The sequence below is a fragment of the Homo sapiens genome, chromosome 5 (assembly GCF_000001405.40).
Source record: "Homo sapiens chromosome 5, GRCh38.p14 Primary Assembly".
NCBI classification, from domain to species: domain Eukaryota; kingdom Metazoa; phylum Chordata; class Mammalia; order Primates; family Hominidae; genus Homo; species Homo sapiens.
The window spans coordinates 23,337,881-23,354,781 of NC_000005.10; the positions used below are offsets into that span (position 1 = coordinate 23,337,881).

General features: G+C 32.8%; 1 long non-coding RNA gene across 2 annotated transcripts; it reads right to left on the minus strand.

Moving 5' to 3' along the window:
* Positions 1-6,777: 6,777 nt before the first annotated feature.
* On the minus strand, positions 6,778-11,392 carry LOC105374688 (uncharacterized). Of its 2 annotated transcripts, none has more exons than XR_925853.1 (4): positions 11,276-11,392; positions 8,882-8,959; positions 8,575-8,696; positions 6,778-6,810 (listed from the first exon to the last, which is right to left on the minus strand). It is a non-coding gene; the product is annotated as an uncharacterized LOC105374688 (long non-coding RNA). The 2 variants fall into 2 exon arrangements; XR_925852.2 differs by lacking the exon at positions 11,276-11,392 and adding an exon at positions 10,501-10,965.
* Positions 11,393-16,901: the final 5,509 nt, after the last annotated feature.

Genomic DNA, 16,901 nt, shown 5'->3' on the forward strand with positions numbered 1-16,901 from the left:
GGTGAAACCCGTCTCTACTAAAAATACAAAAATTAGCTGGGCGTGGTAACGAGCACCTGCAGTCCCAGCTACTTGGGAGGCTAAGGCAGGAGAATCGCTTGAACCCAGGAGACGGAGGTTGCAGTGAGCTGAGATCACACCACTGCACTCCAGTGTATATATATGAAAGCCTTGAGATTGAAGGATTTGAGGTCCCTGAATTATTACATTGAACAGAAATCTTCTGACTCCCTCCCTTATGGACCTGTACAGGACTGCAACATGAACAAGAAATAAAATTTCTCTGTGAACCCACCAAGAATATTTACTTGGTAAACCCACTAGGATTTGGGAGTTTCTTTATTATAGTGCCAAGATTAGGTATTATAGTACCTAATCAATTACACAGTGTTTAGATACAATATAGTTATTTAAATGTCAATACTGGATGTTCTTATATGACTTTAAAAATATTAAAATCTAATTTTAAAAACATTAAAATTTTATAGAAAAAATATACATAGAAAGAACTGATATTGTAGAAAATGAGACTTAACCTAAATGATGAATAATTAGAATTTGTAGAAAACAGAAACCTATAAAATAAATAAAAAAGATTTAGTAATTCTGCATAAGAGAAGACATAAAACCAAAATAAACTGAATAAATAAAAAGCTAAATAAAAAAATGTGACATTCAGTTAATCTAACATATTACATAATTAACAAATTTTTTTATCAAATGCTGTAAAGTATAAAAATAGGTATAAATATTTGAAAACATACTGTAAACGTTTTCAAATAGTAAAATCACCAATGTGGAATCACAAGGTTGCTACCCCCAAAATAATGAATAAATGAAAAATATCAGTTTGGAAAAAAATGAATAGAGTTGAATAAATTTCCTTAAAGCTATTAATTGTAACACTTGAATATATGATGGGTTGAAAATAAGTTCATTTATAATAGTAATAAAAAACAAAAGTAAGTAGATGTACTGATTATACAGGCTTATAGAGTTAATCTAAGAAGAAACATTTAAGACCTGTATGAGTAAAATAAAACCTGCAAAACCTCTATTGAAGAAAATAAAATAAAATAAAATGGAAGCATATTTCATGTTTGTGTATGGAAAACCTAAAATAAAACAGAAACTCACCCCAATTAATTAATGTTTTAATTAATTTTAACAAAAAACACATTAAGATTTGTTTTTGACTTTTTGATAATAGCCTTTCTGACTGTTGTGAGATGGTATCTCATTGTGGTTTTTTGATTTGCATTTCTCTAATAGTCAGTGATGTTGAGATTTTTTTACATGATTGTTGGCCACATGTATGCATGTATGTCTTCTTTTGAAAAATGTCTGTTTGTGACCTTTGCCCACTTTTTGTTTTGTTTTGTTTTGTTTTGTTTTGTTTTGTTTTAGAGAGATGGATTCTCACTCTATCACCCAGGCTGGAGTGCAGTGGTGCGATCTCCGCTCACTGCAACCTCCGACTCCCCAGTTCAAGCAATTCACCTGCCTCAGCCTTCTGAGCAGCTGGGACTACAGGAGCAGGCTGCCACGACTGGCTAACTTCTTTTGTATTTTAGTAGAGACAGGGTTTCACCATGTTGCCCAGACTGGTCTCCAACTCCTGAGCTCAGGCAATTACAGGTGTGAGCCACAGCGCCTGGCCCCCTCTTTTTAATGGGGTTGTTTTTCTCTTGTAAATTCGTTTAAGTTTCTCATAGATGCTAAATATTAGCCCCTTGTTAGATGCACAGTTTGCAAAAATGTTCTCCCATTCTGTAGGTTGTCTGTTTATTTTGTCGACAATTTCCTTTGCTGTACAGAAGCTCTGTAGTTTAATTAGTTCCCCTTTCTCAACTTTTGCTTTTGTTGCAATTGCTTTTGCCTTCGTCATCATGAAGTCTAAGACTGTTCCCATGTCCAGAATGGTATTGCCTAGAATGGTAATATCTTCCAGGGTTTTTATAGTTTGGGGTTTTACATTTAAGTCTTTAAGTTAATTTTTGTGTATGGAATAAGGAAGGAGCCCAGCTTCAATCTTCTGCATATGGCTAACCAGCTATCCCAGCACCATTTATTGATTAGGGAATCCTTTTCCTGTTGATTGTTTTTGTCGGATTTGTCGAAGATCAGATAGTTGTAGGTGTGTGGTCTTATTTCTGGATTCTCTATTCTGTTCCATCAGTCTATATGTCTGTTTTTGCACCAGAACCATGCTGTTTTGGTTACTATAGCCCTGTAATGTAGTTTAAAGTTGGGTAGCATGATGCCTCCCACTTTATTCTTTCTGTTTAGGATTGTCTTGGCTATTTGGGTTCTTTTTTGGTTCCACATGAATTTTAAAATATTTTTTTCTAGTCAATAGTAGTTTAATAGGAATAGCATTGAATGTATGAATTACTTGGAGCAGTATGGCCATTTTAATGATATTGATTCTTCCTATCAATGAGCATGAGATGTCTTTTCATTTGTTTGTGTCATTTCTTATTTATTTGAGCAGTCAAAAAATAACCAATGCAGATGAGGTTGCAGATAAAAAGGAACGCTTTTATACTGTTGGTGGGAGTGTAAACTAGTTCAACCATTGTGGAAGACAGTGTAGCAATTCTTCTAAGGCCTGAAGACAGAGATACCATTTGACCCAGCAATCTCATTACTAGATATATACTGAAAGGAATATAAATTTTTCTATTATAAAGTCACATGCACAAGTAGGTTCATTGCAGCACTATTCACAATAGAAAGACATGGAATCAACCTAAATGCCCATTAATGGTAGACTGGATAAAGAAAATATGGTACGTATACACCACAGATTACTATGCGGCCATAAAAAAAAAAAACAAGATTATATTCTTTGCAGAAACATGAATGGAGTTGGAGGCTATTATTTTTAGCAACTAACACAGGAAAAGAAAACCAAATACCACATGTTCTCACTTATAAGTGGGATCTAAATGATGAAAACACATGGACACATAGAGCGGAACAACACACACCTGGCCCTGTTGGAGGGTGGAGGCTGAGATAAGAGAGAGGATCATGAAAAATAACTAATAAGTACTAGGCTTAATACCTGGGTGACAAAATAATCTGTACAACAAACCCCCATGACACAACAAGTTGACCTATTAACAAAACCTGCACATGTACCCCAAAATTAAAATAGAAGTTAAATTTAAAAAAAAAGATTTTGAACTTGTCAAGCAAATAAACCTCTCTTGGAATAAATATGTTGTTATAAACAGACCAGGAATCTTCAAAAAAAAATATGAAAAAAAGGTTTGCATTAGAAATAACAGAAAATATTGTAAATCACAAATTTAAATCATCAGGAAACTCACATGGGTGTAGCAGAGACTAAAACCAGAAAGAAATGTATCTTAAAATCAATGGGAAAAAAATACTTAAAAAATACATGGCCGGGCACAGTGGCTCACGCCTGTAATCCCAGCACTCTGGGAGGCCGAGGCAGGTAGATCACCTGAGGTCAGGAGTTCCAGACTAGCCTTGCCAACATGGGGAAACCCCGTCTCTACTAAAAATACAAAAATTAGCTGGGCGTGGTGGCATGTGCCTCTAGTCCCAGCTACTCGGGAGGCTGAGGAGGAGAATCGCTTGAACCCGGGAGGCGGAGATTGTGATTAGCTGAGATGCTGAGATGGTGCCACTGCACTCCAGCCTGGGCGACAGAGAGAGACTCCATCTCAAAAAAACAACAACAACAAAACAAAACATATACTGTTTTGGTAATCCTTTAAGTGCAAATAATAAAATTGTAATTACCTTACACATAAACCACCATTAATTCCAGTTGAATAAAATTATAAAACACCCTGTTTTCATAATTTTTTCAGCCACAAAACTACCAACAATCTCTAAGAATAAATGGGTGATTCTTCTTTATATTTAATATTAAATATAAAGAAGAATCACCCATTTATTCTTAGAGTAGACTTTTAAACATTCGAATTTTAAAAGTAAGGGTAAATAATGCACTATAATGACAAAAGTAATCAATTTCTTAAGGTTTATGGAAAATTTAATAAAATGTCTTTCTTTCAAGTACCAGCCATTATTACTGCTCCTCAAATCCAAGCCCCACCACCATTCCCACGGTTCCAGAAGACAACATTGAGTTTCTTACACTATCACTTATATATCTTCTAAAAACATCGAGAATCATTGACAAAGGCCAGAATTAAAGTCAATGTGAGGTCGATAATATTTAGCTTAGCATACAAAACAAAATAGATCACAAGAGGAAAGGTCAAAACATTTGACAACAAAAATTAGAGACAAAAGTGATTGTTGAATTACTAGGGCAAAATAAAAAAGCAAATAATAAACCAGAGGAAAAGTTCAACAAAATTCAATAAGCAAAAAATAGATATAAAAAAATAGAAAATTATTTTAAAAGAAAAAATGTATTGGTAATTATTTCTGAAAAAGAGAAATATTAATAAAACTCGTATGCAAGGAAAAACAGCACATTCATATAATTCATATATTGCCTCTAACAAATTGGTAAAACAACTTAATGTCAACACTAATATTACCATATATGTAAAAAACAGTCATTCTTCTTAGAGAAAAACAGTGAAAATGTACAGAGAATTGTATGAAAAGATATAATTTTTTAAGATTAAGATTATAATATCAACTGGATGACCAATGCCATTCATTATGAAGAAAATTATGAGAAATATACAGAGTCGATTAAGTGGTTCCATCAAAATGAAATTTAAGTTTAAATTAGCCAATATAACCCACAATTAGTGATTAGGTAAATATAAAGTATGAGACTCTACAAAGGTGCATCCTGCACTAGGAATTAATATTTAAGAAAGTGAATAATATGTGGACAATTCTAAGTATAAAGTTATAAAAGTAGTAAATACTATATGTTGCCATATAGTATAAATATATAATACTATATAATAATATATAATTAATAATAAATATATAACACTACATAGATACATGCATAGATAGAAATAAAGTAGGATTTGAAAATGATGAGAGAATAATTGACAATCTACTCAGACATACATACCCTAATGTATATCACATCTAAAAATTAGGGTGATTATTTTGTTTAGCATTCATTTTGAGGATTTTTCCAGTGGAAATAAACATTTTAAAAATGATTTTTCCAATTGCCATTACATATAAAATCAAAAGTCAAAAGCAAAATACTTGAATTAGTTAAATCTTAATGGTATGAGAAAAGCTACAGCATGTTCTAGCCTTACAATAAAATAACTATAAACTTAGAACACATTCAAACTAATGTTATAAAATACTTTTAATAAGACGAATGTTCAATATATCGTTATATTATAAAATGAGGATTGTGAATTGTATGTGTAATTTATAATAGCAGTTACATAAAATATACACAAAAGGTTGGAATGACATATATTAAAATGGTAATGGTAATTTCCCTTAATCAGCAGAATTTAAGGTGCTTTAAAATAACAAATGTTTTATTAAATTAATTTTGGTTTGTCAAAATTATAAAAGAGGACCAATGGAGTTTTAAAAAAGAAAACCAAACTAAAATTTAACAAAAACATAATTAAGTATTCAGAAGCCATCCATTTTTCATCAGGCTACAAGATTTCATATGAAATATTTAAAAGTGTTGCCCTACAAAATGTCTCTAAGGCAGAAAGAAATCATAGATGAAATCTTTTATAGGTAGAATCCATCCATCTAAAATTTATAGTAGGAAATCGTGTTTCATGTCTTTTGTCTATATAAAATTCCTTTTTTGACATTAATGGAGGTGGGAGATGATAAATTATTTTTTCTTCACAATATTATTATTTAGTTCATCAAATGAGAGATTTTTTGAAAGGAAATATAACTCAAATGATACTAATTTGGACGTTAATGGACACATAGATGACATAGTTCTATCTTGATCAAAAAGTGTGTGTTTTAAAGCATTATTACTTTATTAGCGATATGCTGAATATCAGTTGCAGATTGCTGTTGAATTTATTACATTATCCCAATATCTTGCAATGTATTTCTTACATGCTAACCAAAGCCTTGTCAATTGTAAAGTTGTTAAATACTGTTAAAATTTAAGGAGATGTATCCTACTATTTAATAGCGTACAAATAAATTATCCAACTAAAAAATGTGCAAAGAATTTGAATAGACATTTTTCCAAAGAAGATGTACAAGTGACCAACAGTGATATTAAAAGATGTTCAACCTCAGTAATCATCAGGGAAATGAAAATTAAAAGCAAAAATGAGACATCACTTCACACCTATTACAACGGCCATTATTAGAAAAGCAAAAAAAAAAAAAGATAGCAAGTATTGTGAAGCAGAAATCAGAGTCCTGGTATATTGTTGGTGGGAATGCAAAATGGTATAGCATCTATAAAAACCGGTATAGAGTTTTCCCAAATAATTAAAGGTAGAACTACCATGAAATCTAGCAATCACACTTCTGGTATCTATCTATAATTATTGAAATCAGTATCCTATCATGTCCTTTGCAGAACGTGCATGAGGTTGGAGGCCATTATCCTAAGTGAACTGGAATAACATGCGAATAGAAAATCAAATACCAAATGTTCTCACTTAAAAATGGGAGCTAAACATTGAAAACACATAGACAAAAAGAAGGTAACAACAGACACCGGGACCTACTTGAGGGTGAAGGGTGGGAGAAGAGAAGGGATCAAAAAACTACCTATTAGGTATTATGTTTATTACCTGGGTGATGAAATCATCTGTATGTTAAATCCCATGACATGCAATTTATCTATATAACAAATCTTCACATGTTCCTCTGAACCAAAAATAAAAGTTAAAATTAATAAGGATCTCAAAGAGATATGTGCATTTTTATGGTATTGCAGTCTGATTTGCAAGATAAGGAAACAATTCAAACGTCCATTGATGGATGAATGGATAAAGAAAATATGGTATATTCACATAAAGGAATATTATTCGGCCACAAAAAGAAGGGAATCTTGTCATATGCTATAAAATGTATTAATCTGAGGATATTATGCTAAGTAAAACAACCCAGTCAACCAAGAACAAACACTGCGTGCTTCCACGTGTGTGAGATATCTAAAGTAGGCAAACTCAGGAAAGGAGAAGGTACAATGGTGGTTGTCAGGGCTGAGGGAAGGGGAAAATGGATAATGGCTGTTCAATGGTGCAAAGTTTCAGTCATGCAGGTTGAAAAATTCTAAAGTTGGCTGAAGGACATTGTGCTTAAACAATATTGTGTTGCACACTTAAAATTCTAAGAGGATAAATCTTATATGATTTTTAGCACAACAAAAAAAGAAACATTTTTAAAAAGTTAAGTAGACTTCAGGTATCATTTAGAAAAACATCTCTCTTTTGGCTGTTAACCCAGCTTTATTCAGCAGAGTTTAGCTAGTTTTAGTCTCCAATCCAGTTAATCATGGTTCATGTGAATTTATTTCAGTTGAATTCCTTGGAATCACCTTCACATTTTTATATTCACTACAAAATAGATCTTCAGTTGTTGGCAGGTTTCCTCAACTCCTGCCGTATTAAAATTGTGGGGTTTTTTTTGGTTGATATTTCTGTTAAATGTTGTTCAGGCCTAAAAGCATTTCTCATTATTTTCTTTGCCATTCAATTGAGATTTTCATATAGCTTCACTGAACTTGAGATAAAGTCTAGCATTTGTTTTGCTGTACCAATACACAATGTTTTTATCTCTTTTCTGGTTGGTGATTTATTTAAATTGTTATTCTATACAGAAGCATACAACTTATTTGTCTAAATAGTCTATTGCTTTCCACATGGATTAATTAACATCATAGTTACAGGTTTTTTTAAAAAATTCATATTTGGGCATTTTTATTAAGTTTCAACATGATAATATTATTTATAAAGAGCACATTTACTCAATTAGTATGTATAATGAGTTTATTTAAGGAATTGACATTTTTGCTGAACTGAGAAGTAGATCACAAAGCAAACAAAACAAAATAAAAAGCAATGAACCAGTGAATAAAGGCCATGAATATTGTGTAAATATTTATGTTCATTTTTTATCTTAACATCATAATCTCAAATCACTTCAGAGACAATCCTATTTCTAAAGAACAATAATAGTATATTGCCTATTGAAATAAAATGGGGACATGGTTTAATCAATTTTATATTAAAGTAAAATTTCATAATGAATTTAAGAGAGATTTTTAGAAAATATTTTTTAGTTTTCATAGTACTCAAACCAGGGCATCAATGTGTAACATGTCCCCAAACACAACACTACAAATATTCTATTTTATGTTTGCAAGATTTTAGAACAACAGAAAAAGTCATTCTACTTCGCATATTCTTAATTGTTTAAATAATCTACATTATTGAAGTATAGCTTCCCTATTTTTAAAAAAACATTTTAGGCATATACTTTGATACATTATAAAAATATATAATCAAAGCAGTTCAACCATAATAATAATAAAATATTTCTATAATTCACTGTAATTGTTTTTACGCTACTCTAAAGAACTGCTTGTGACTGGGTAATTTATAAAGAAAAGAGGATTAATTGACTCACAGTTTAGGATGGCTGGGGAGGCGTCAGGAAACCTATAATCATGGCGGAAGTTGGAGGGGAATCAAGACCTTCTTTACATGGTAGCAGGAGAAAGAAGAGTGAGGAGCCAAGTGTGAAGAGCCCTAGAAAATATAAAATCACCAGATCTCTTGAGAACTCGCTCACTATCACAAGAACAGCATGGGAGAAACTTCCCTCATGATCCAATCACCTCCCACCAGGGTCTCTTGCTAGACACATGGGGATCATGGGGATTACAACACAAAATGAGATTTGGGTGGGGACACAACCAAATCAGATTACTTACTAAAGTTTTCTTTGTAGTTATCCTCATCCCATCACTCCACAATCTCATTCTTCAGCCTCAAAAAACCACAGCTGGTTTCTATGATTAAGGATTAGTTTTGACTATTTTAAGATTTCATATAAATAAAATATTAACATTTATACTATTTTGTTTCTGTCTTCTGTAACTCAGCATGCTGTTCATAAAATTCATCTTTGCTACCGTATGTGATATCAGCAGTTCCTTACCTTATATTACCAAGTCATATTTCTATGTATATATCACAATATTAATTTATTTGCTTTTGATGGGTGTCTGTATTGTTTCTAGGTCTGTACCTTAAAAAAATTGCTATGAACATTTGTGTGCAAGCCATTCTCTTGTTTAAATACCTAGAGTTGAAATTACTCCTTTATATAGGAAGTGTGTTCTTAATTTTATATGAAACTTCCAAAATATTTTACTCCCTAACCAGCAATGACAATAAATTATTTCCCATCCCACCAGTATGTGGCGTGTCTTTAATTTTAGCCATTCTCATTTTGTGTGGTGGTATTTTGTTGTGGCTTAATTTGCATTTCCCTGATGACTATGAATGTTTGTTTCTTTTCATTTGGTTATGTAATATTCATTTAACTTCTTTTGGATAGTGTGTATTAAAATCTTTGACCTTTTTTTGTTGGGTTGTTAACTTTCATAAAGTTAAAGATATCTTATAAAGTGTGTAAACAAGTCCTTTGTCTAATAAAGCATGCAACCATTTTTCTCTCCTTGTGAGGCGTACTTTTCATCTTTAAAATGTATCTTAAAGGATATAAGTAATATGATTCAATAAAATGTATCTGTTTTGTGTGTGCTTAATACTTTTTTGTCATTTCTAGAAAATTCTTGCCTCCATCAAGGTCAAAACTAATTTTTTTCTACCGTTTCATTTTCGCAGTGATCTTTCCTATGTTTTCCGTGTTTCTGCCTATCTTTCATATATTTCAACTTTAAAATATCTGTCTGTGGTATATTTTTGTATTAATTGAATATTGTGTTAGTTGGGTTTTAAATACTGTTGTTAATTCTTCCCCAAAGATTGTATCCAATTGTCCTACCCTTAGTTGTTCAAAGACTACCCCGTCTACATTGAAATTATTTGGTAACTTTGTCAAAAAGCTATTAAACTAGTACATGTAAGATGTCTGTTCTTGCTTCTGTTTTTCACACCATTGTTCTTTATTTCTATTCTTACACAAAAACCACAGTCTAGATACATGGTAATAAGTCTTAAAATCAGGTAGTGTAAGTTCTCCAAATTTCTTCTCTTTCAAGATTGTTTAGACATTCCATATTCTTTATATTTAACTTTAAGCTATAAAATCAGCTTGTTCATTTCTACAACTTAAAAAAAAATTTCACTGAGGTTTGCTTCGCTCGAGACTCAGTCATAACCCATGTGATGTTCTGTCAAGACTTCTTTATAGATGGCATTTTTTTCTTTCATCAAAAGTCATATAATGTTTACTATATATCTTCTTCTTGTATGAGCTGATGTTCAATACACTAATTTATTAGTTTATCACAAATTTTCTTATAATTACATTATTTTTCCTTCTTTTAGGATAAAAGAATACTTATAAAAAGATACATTTTACCTTGTAGACCTGTGGTTATTTTAGGGTTTAGTTCATTAATAAAGGCAAGATAAATGCTTGGTACTGTTCCTTTGCTTCCTGACAACACATCATATTTGAAAACTTATGTCTTAAATACTGTTATGAACTTATGGATTTAGTATGGTTGATGTATTTGGCTGTGCTTCATTCAGTGTCTTCTTGGATACAAATTTTCCATCTTTTGCCAGTGAATACTGCTTCAAATTGTCTCCTGAGTCTTCTTAATAAGATCCTTACTAGCTATTTTACTCCTGTGCTAATTGGTTATCAAAATGGTCCATCTTGTCCATGCTCTGCCTCAAACAAGGAATAAATTTGTTTCTATGGAGATCTCTGTTATCATATTTGCTTTTTAGTGAAATATGTTATTTCAGGACCACTGTCTGGACACTAGCAGTAATTTTTCACACAGGATGCTTCAAAGAAGAGGTTTCTTTCACTATTTCTAAGCCTTTCCATTGGCAGTTATAGGAAACATATTATATAAAAGAGATTTATGATTCCATTCTGAGAGTTCCAAATGGAATTCAGGCTTACAAACTTTATCCTATCTTGTATCTCTATTTCTTCTTTCACCACATCTAGAACCTTGTTTCTTAAAGGCATAAGGTATTATTTGATTAGAATATTGTATTATTACTAATTTTCAGTATCCCACAGTAAACACAAGTACTATTCGATGAACAATGCCAACACTACTAAAAACATGCTACACTGATGGTTTTGTTTGTTTGTTTCTTTATAGAAATCTTACCTTTCTTCTAGGTTGAGTATGGTACCGCTACTTCTGAGATTTTAGGAAAGTTCAGTTTGAAGGGAAAGCACCCAAGAGGCCATATTATCCTTGTCCCTGATGAGTTTAGTCATCCAGATTCATCTGTAAATGAAATTACCATTTTAGGTCAGACTCCTTTGTCAGTTCCTCAAAGCAGAAGGGAGAGTGATATAATCTGTAACTACAAACCCTCCCAAACAATAACTAGGAAGCTAAAATATATTAAAATATAACATTGAGGCTGAAAACCAAATATTGAGAGCTAGGTGGTATTTTTTGCCTTCTTTATATATTTGTATTTTTAATTTGCTTTATTCTTATAAACTATCTTTAAATATAATTCTTCAAATTTCCTAAAGGAGAAGAAAACAAACTGCTGTGCTATTTCCATGGTACACTGAGGATTATGTTTGCAGGGTCTTTGTCCTGTGCCCTCCCATCTATGCATCACAAATAAGCATGCATGCATTGGTGCCCATATGTTTACTTGGCTCAGCACTCTCCCATTTATACTTTATGTACAATCTCTCCCAACTCTCAGCTTTTATGTACTATACTTTCATGCCTGAAAATGCTCTTCCCAGTTCTTTCTTGAGTTAGCTTCTGAGCAGCCACCAGGACTCAGCTCTATGCCACATTTTCCAAGATGGTTACAGGTCTCTGTAACCGCATTTCATCCCATAAAACTCTGAATATTCATCTGTCAAAATATTTATTTTACTCTAGGAAAATCACCAGTTTACTTCTCTATACCTAGGATAACAGCCTATATCTCTTGAAGACAAGATAATATCTAATTTTTGCTATATCTTAATTGCCTGGAGCATAATAAGTTTTCACAAACCAGTCTGAATTCAATGAATTATGGAAAGATATTCTTAAATAAGCAGCTAATATTAAGCAGTGAACTTTATGTTGCCAGTACTTTTAACTTCATTTGCCCAATTTCATCTCTTTGTTTCAAACCGTACCATCTCATCCCCCTTCATGGAGTAAGAAATCCTTGTATGATGTAAAATTCCATTAAATTCATACCAATCATTTTTTTCCTGAGGGCTGTTCCCATTCACCTTTTCTTATTTGGTCTTTAAAACTAACCAGTCATATATACAGTTTATACTAAATCCTAAAATTAGTAACCAAAAATGCATTCCTCTGATAACTAAGAATTTATCTAAGCACAACATACCTATAATTTTATGGGAATTTAGTATATTATAGAATACATGACTTGGCATGCACCTATATTCTGAGTTTATACCATACACTTATCCTGAGTGCTAGATATTGTAAAAAATAAAAATAATTGGTATTCATTGTAAAAAATCATATTTTCTATATAAATGCTAATATACCCATCACAACACTTTGTAAGTGAAAATCCAATGTAACAATTGTATGTGTCTTCAGTATGAATACAGGGAAGTATTATTTTCTGGACAAAATCCAGACTGAGCAAAACAAATTACACTTTTTCACATGTTATTCACCAAATGTGATCTTTAAAAACTTTTTCCAGTAAGAAATTTTCCATCAGAATGCATTAAAAAATATATATCCCTAGGTGCATAGCCAATAGAAAGACCTATACTAGGTAAAACATACATGCATTTTAACGAGAGTACATTAGACTAACTTGGGCATTTTTCTGTGTCATTTAATTCAATCATCAAAGGACATCCTTGTAACTCACTGAAAAACTTAGGTAGAGATTAACATTTTCACCTTTTTGAATGAATATCTGTGTGACATGAATCACATACTATGTTAGGAGATTGAAGGAGAATAAAGTGATGCTGTTGAAATACTTTACACATCTAATGACAAGTCAATCTTATTTGCGCTCATTAGATTAGTATACTGTGCATCTTATAATGGAAAGAATAATAAAAATTATCCCAAATTGAGCTTCTCATTGTTCATGCCAATAACAAAGTTTAATCTCTTTTCATGTTCTAGGAAATTAGGCTTATAATCTTTCCCTTATAATTCTCTGATGTTATGGGACAGTGGTGTCCAGTAGAAAGAAACTTTAAGAACACTTATTTCTATTTTTTATTCCATCATTTTAGATAATATTTAGGGTGATTTAAAATTCACAACATTGATTGATTTATTACCCCGCCTTCATAGGAACAATAGTCATACTTGGAGATGTTTTTACCTTGCAGATTTCTGAATAAAACAAAGAGACTTAACAGTTAGCCCTCTGTATCTGTGGATTCACCAACCACAAATAGAAAATATTGTGTTCACCAAAATAAAAACAAAAATAAAATACAAAAATTAAAAATAATACACATACAAAAAATTGTATAATAACTATGTAGCATTTACATTGTATTCGGTATTATAAACAACGTAGAGATGATTTAAAGTATATGGAGGGATGTGTTTAGAGTATATGAAAACAGTGCATCATTTTTCATGTGAGATTTGAACATCTACAGATTTTGGTTTCTGTAGGCATCCTAGAACCGTACCTCCATGGATACCGAGTGAAAACTGTAGTTCAAGGCACTTTGAATAATATGTTTTAAACATGAGTATATTATTAAACATAAGAAATACGAATAAAAATTCATCTTAAATATAAGAAATATTATTTAAAAATATTATAGCATTCAAGAGGCTTCTAATAATAGTAAATTTCAATGCTGTTTTTACGCTCTGCCATGATATGCCTAGACGAGAATATCTCCTTAAGAATCAAGGCCGGATCAAGAACTTTTTTAAAAACAGCCTCGATTTTAACTTATAACCATGATGTTATTTCAGTAAGAAGCTAAAATGTGCGCTTATTTACTATTACGGAAAAGAGGTCACGATCCAGACCTGCAGATAAGGTTCCTGGGTTTCCTGAAAGAAAGAATTCTAGGCAATTCCATAGAGTACCTTGAGAGTAAGTTTCTTAAGAAATGGAGGAATGAGGCCGGGCGCGGTGGCTCACGCCTGTAATCCCAGCACTTTGGGAGGCCGAGGCGGGTGGATCACGAGGTCAGGAGATTGAGACCATCCTGGCTAACACGGTGAAACCCTGTCTCTATTAAAAATACAAAAAATAAGCCGGGCGAGGTGGCGGGCGCCTGTAGTCCCAGCTACTTGGAAGGCTGAGGCAGGAGAATGGCGTGAACCCGGGAGGCCGAGCTTGCAGTGAGCCGAGATCGCGCCACTGCACTCCGGCCTGGGGAACACAGCGAGCCTCCTTCTCAAATACAAAAAAAAAAAAAGAAATGGAGGAATGAAAGAATGGCTTCTTCATAGATAGAGCAGCCCCGAGGGCTGCTGGTTGCCCATTTTTATGGTTATTTCTTGCTTATACGTTAAACAAGGGGTGAATTATTCATGCCTCCCCTTTTTAGATCACGTAGGGTAACTTACTGACATTTGTAAACTGTAAACTCACTGGCGGGAGTGCAGCAGTGAGGACACCAGAGGTCACTCTCGTCACCATGTTGGTTTTGGTGGGTTTTAGCTGTCTTCTTTACTGCAAGCTGTTACATCAGCAAGGTCTTTATGATCTGTATCTTGTGCCGACTTCCTATCTCATTCTGTGACTAAGAACGCCTTAACTTACTGGAAACGCAGCTCAGTAGGTTTCAGGCTCATTTTACTCAGCCTCTATTCAAGAGGGAGTTGTTCTGGTTCAAAAGCTTCTGACAATACCCCTGAGAATTTTGTGTCTGTTGTTATTTTAATATGACCTAATTTAAACAGAATGATATAAAAATGATTATATATTTCCATAAAATAAACAAATCTACATTATCATTTCTGTAAGTTAACTTTGTTTGTTTGTTTGTTTGTTTGTTTTTGAGATGGAGTCTCCCTCTGTCGCCCAGGCTGGGATGCAGTGGGTCTATCTCAGCTCACTGCAACCTCGGTCTCCCAGGTTCAAGCAGTTCTCCTTCCTCAGCCTCCTGAGTAACTGGAACTACAGGTTGTGGGGACATGCCCATCTAATTTTTGTATTTTCAGTAGAGATGGTGTTTTGCCATGTTGGCCAGGCTTGTGTAGAACTCCTGACCTCAAGTGATACGCCTGCCTTGGCCTCCCAAAGTGCTGGGATTACAGGCATGAGCCAGGTTAACTCTCATATGTGCAGCATATGGATAAAATAGTAAAGATTTTTTATATTATTTCATATCTATTTAGAATTTAGTGGAGCATTTTAACTGGCAATTATGACAGAATCATTTTTAGATTTTTCAGCAATCACTCTGCTTTGCCAAAATGAGTGGGAGAGGACAAAAGTGTAAGTAATAAAATCTGTTGAGAAATCAATCCCTTGGGTTATGAACAGGGCTTGGCTCTGTTGATGGTAGAGTGCGTATGAGAGAAATGAACAACGTAGAAGTATATTTTAGAAATAGAATGGAAAAGAATTGCTGTTGCATTATGTAAGTTTCCTTCTGTCAATTTTTTTCTAAAATAGAGTTCTCATATCTAAAGATTGAACGCCCTGACAGTGTATATATAGTTTTGCTTCATTTCATATTCTTGAACTGATATTCACTGCAAACAGAAATTCGACGTCAGAATGTATTTTTTGAATGAAACAAGATTATATCTATTCGTGTGGAATACTGGTTAATACTAATATGTATATGGGTTCCTAAGACTTTGACTCATGTTGCTTAATATGTCATCTCTTACTAGCATAATTCCTGCCAGCCATTACTTAAACAGTGATGGACGTCTTAGTTAACTTGAGTTTCCAAGACCTGTCTTCACAATTGAGTTTGTCCACCTTCTGTGCAAATTTTTCTAGCCAGAATTTTGCGTTGTTTTAATTAGCAAAACATAAGTACTTTGGGGACAGGGGCAGCAAAATTAGAGGACAACAATTATTTCGAGATGCTTGAATGCTTATTAATATGCAAAATTTTTGTTGTAAGACTGAAAATGATTTAGAACATATATTCTTGAAATTATTGGAGTTTATGTGTTCCATTTCTTATTGAAGGTAGTTAATAGATTGAAACTTTCAGACATGATGTTTTACATCTCATGAAAGAGTTGATATGGCATTGTCTCCAAACCAAATGCTGATTTCAATAGACATGAACTTCTTAAATACATCTCTTAAAACATCAAAGGCAAACTGAAGTGGTGTGTATTCAACGTTTCAGGTTCAAATTGGCCCTTATTGATACATTTAATTTTTTCATGTATTTTGCTAACAGTTTGTGTTTGCTGTTTTTAGCACCATATTTTCTTAAATAGAATCACTTTGCTATTGTAGCATTATTTTATCACTAAAATATTTAAATCACTGGACATATTGTTTTAATAATTATTGCAATGGCATTCCTTTCAAAAAAGAAGGAAGGTTTAAAATTATCTGATTGACAAATAATTTTCCATGATACATTTTCCCCAGTTAGGAGCAGAAATGAAATCCCTCTTAATCAAAAAGATGTTTTTCCCAAATGGCTGAATTGTTTTTCTAAATATTTTAATAGATGCATGAAAATACAGGCATACCTCACTTTATTGGGCTTCATTTTATTCTACTTTGCAAATATCGTGGTTTTTTACAAGGTGACTATTTGTGGCAACCCTGCACCAAGCAAATCTATCTATGTCAGTTTTCTAACAGTAT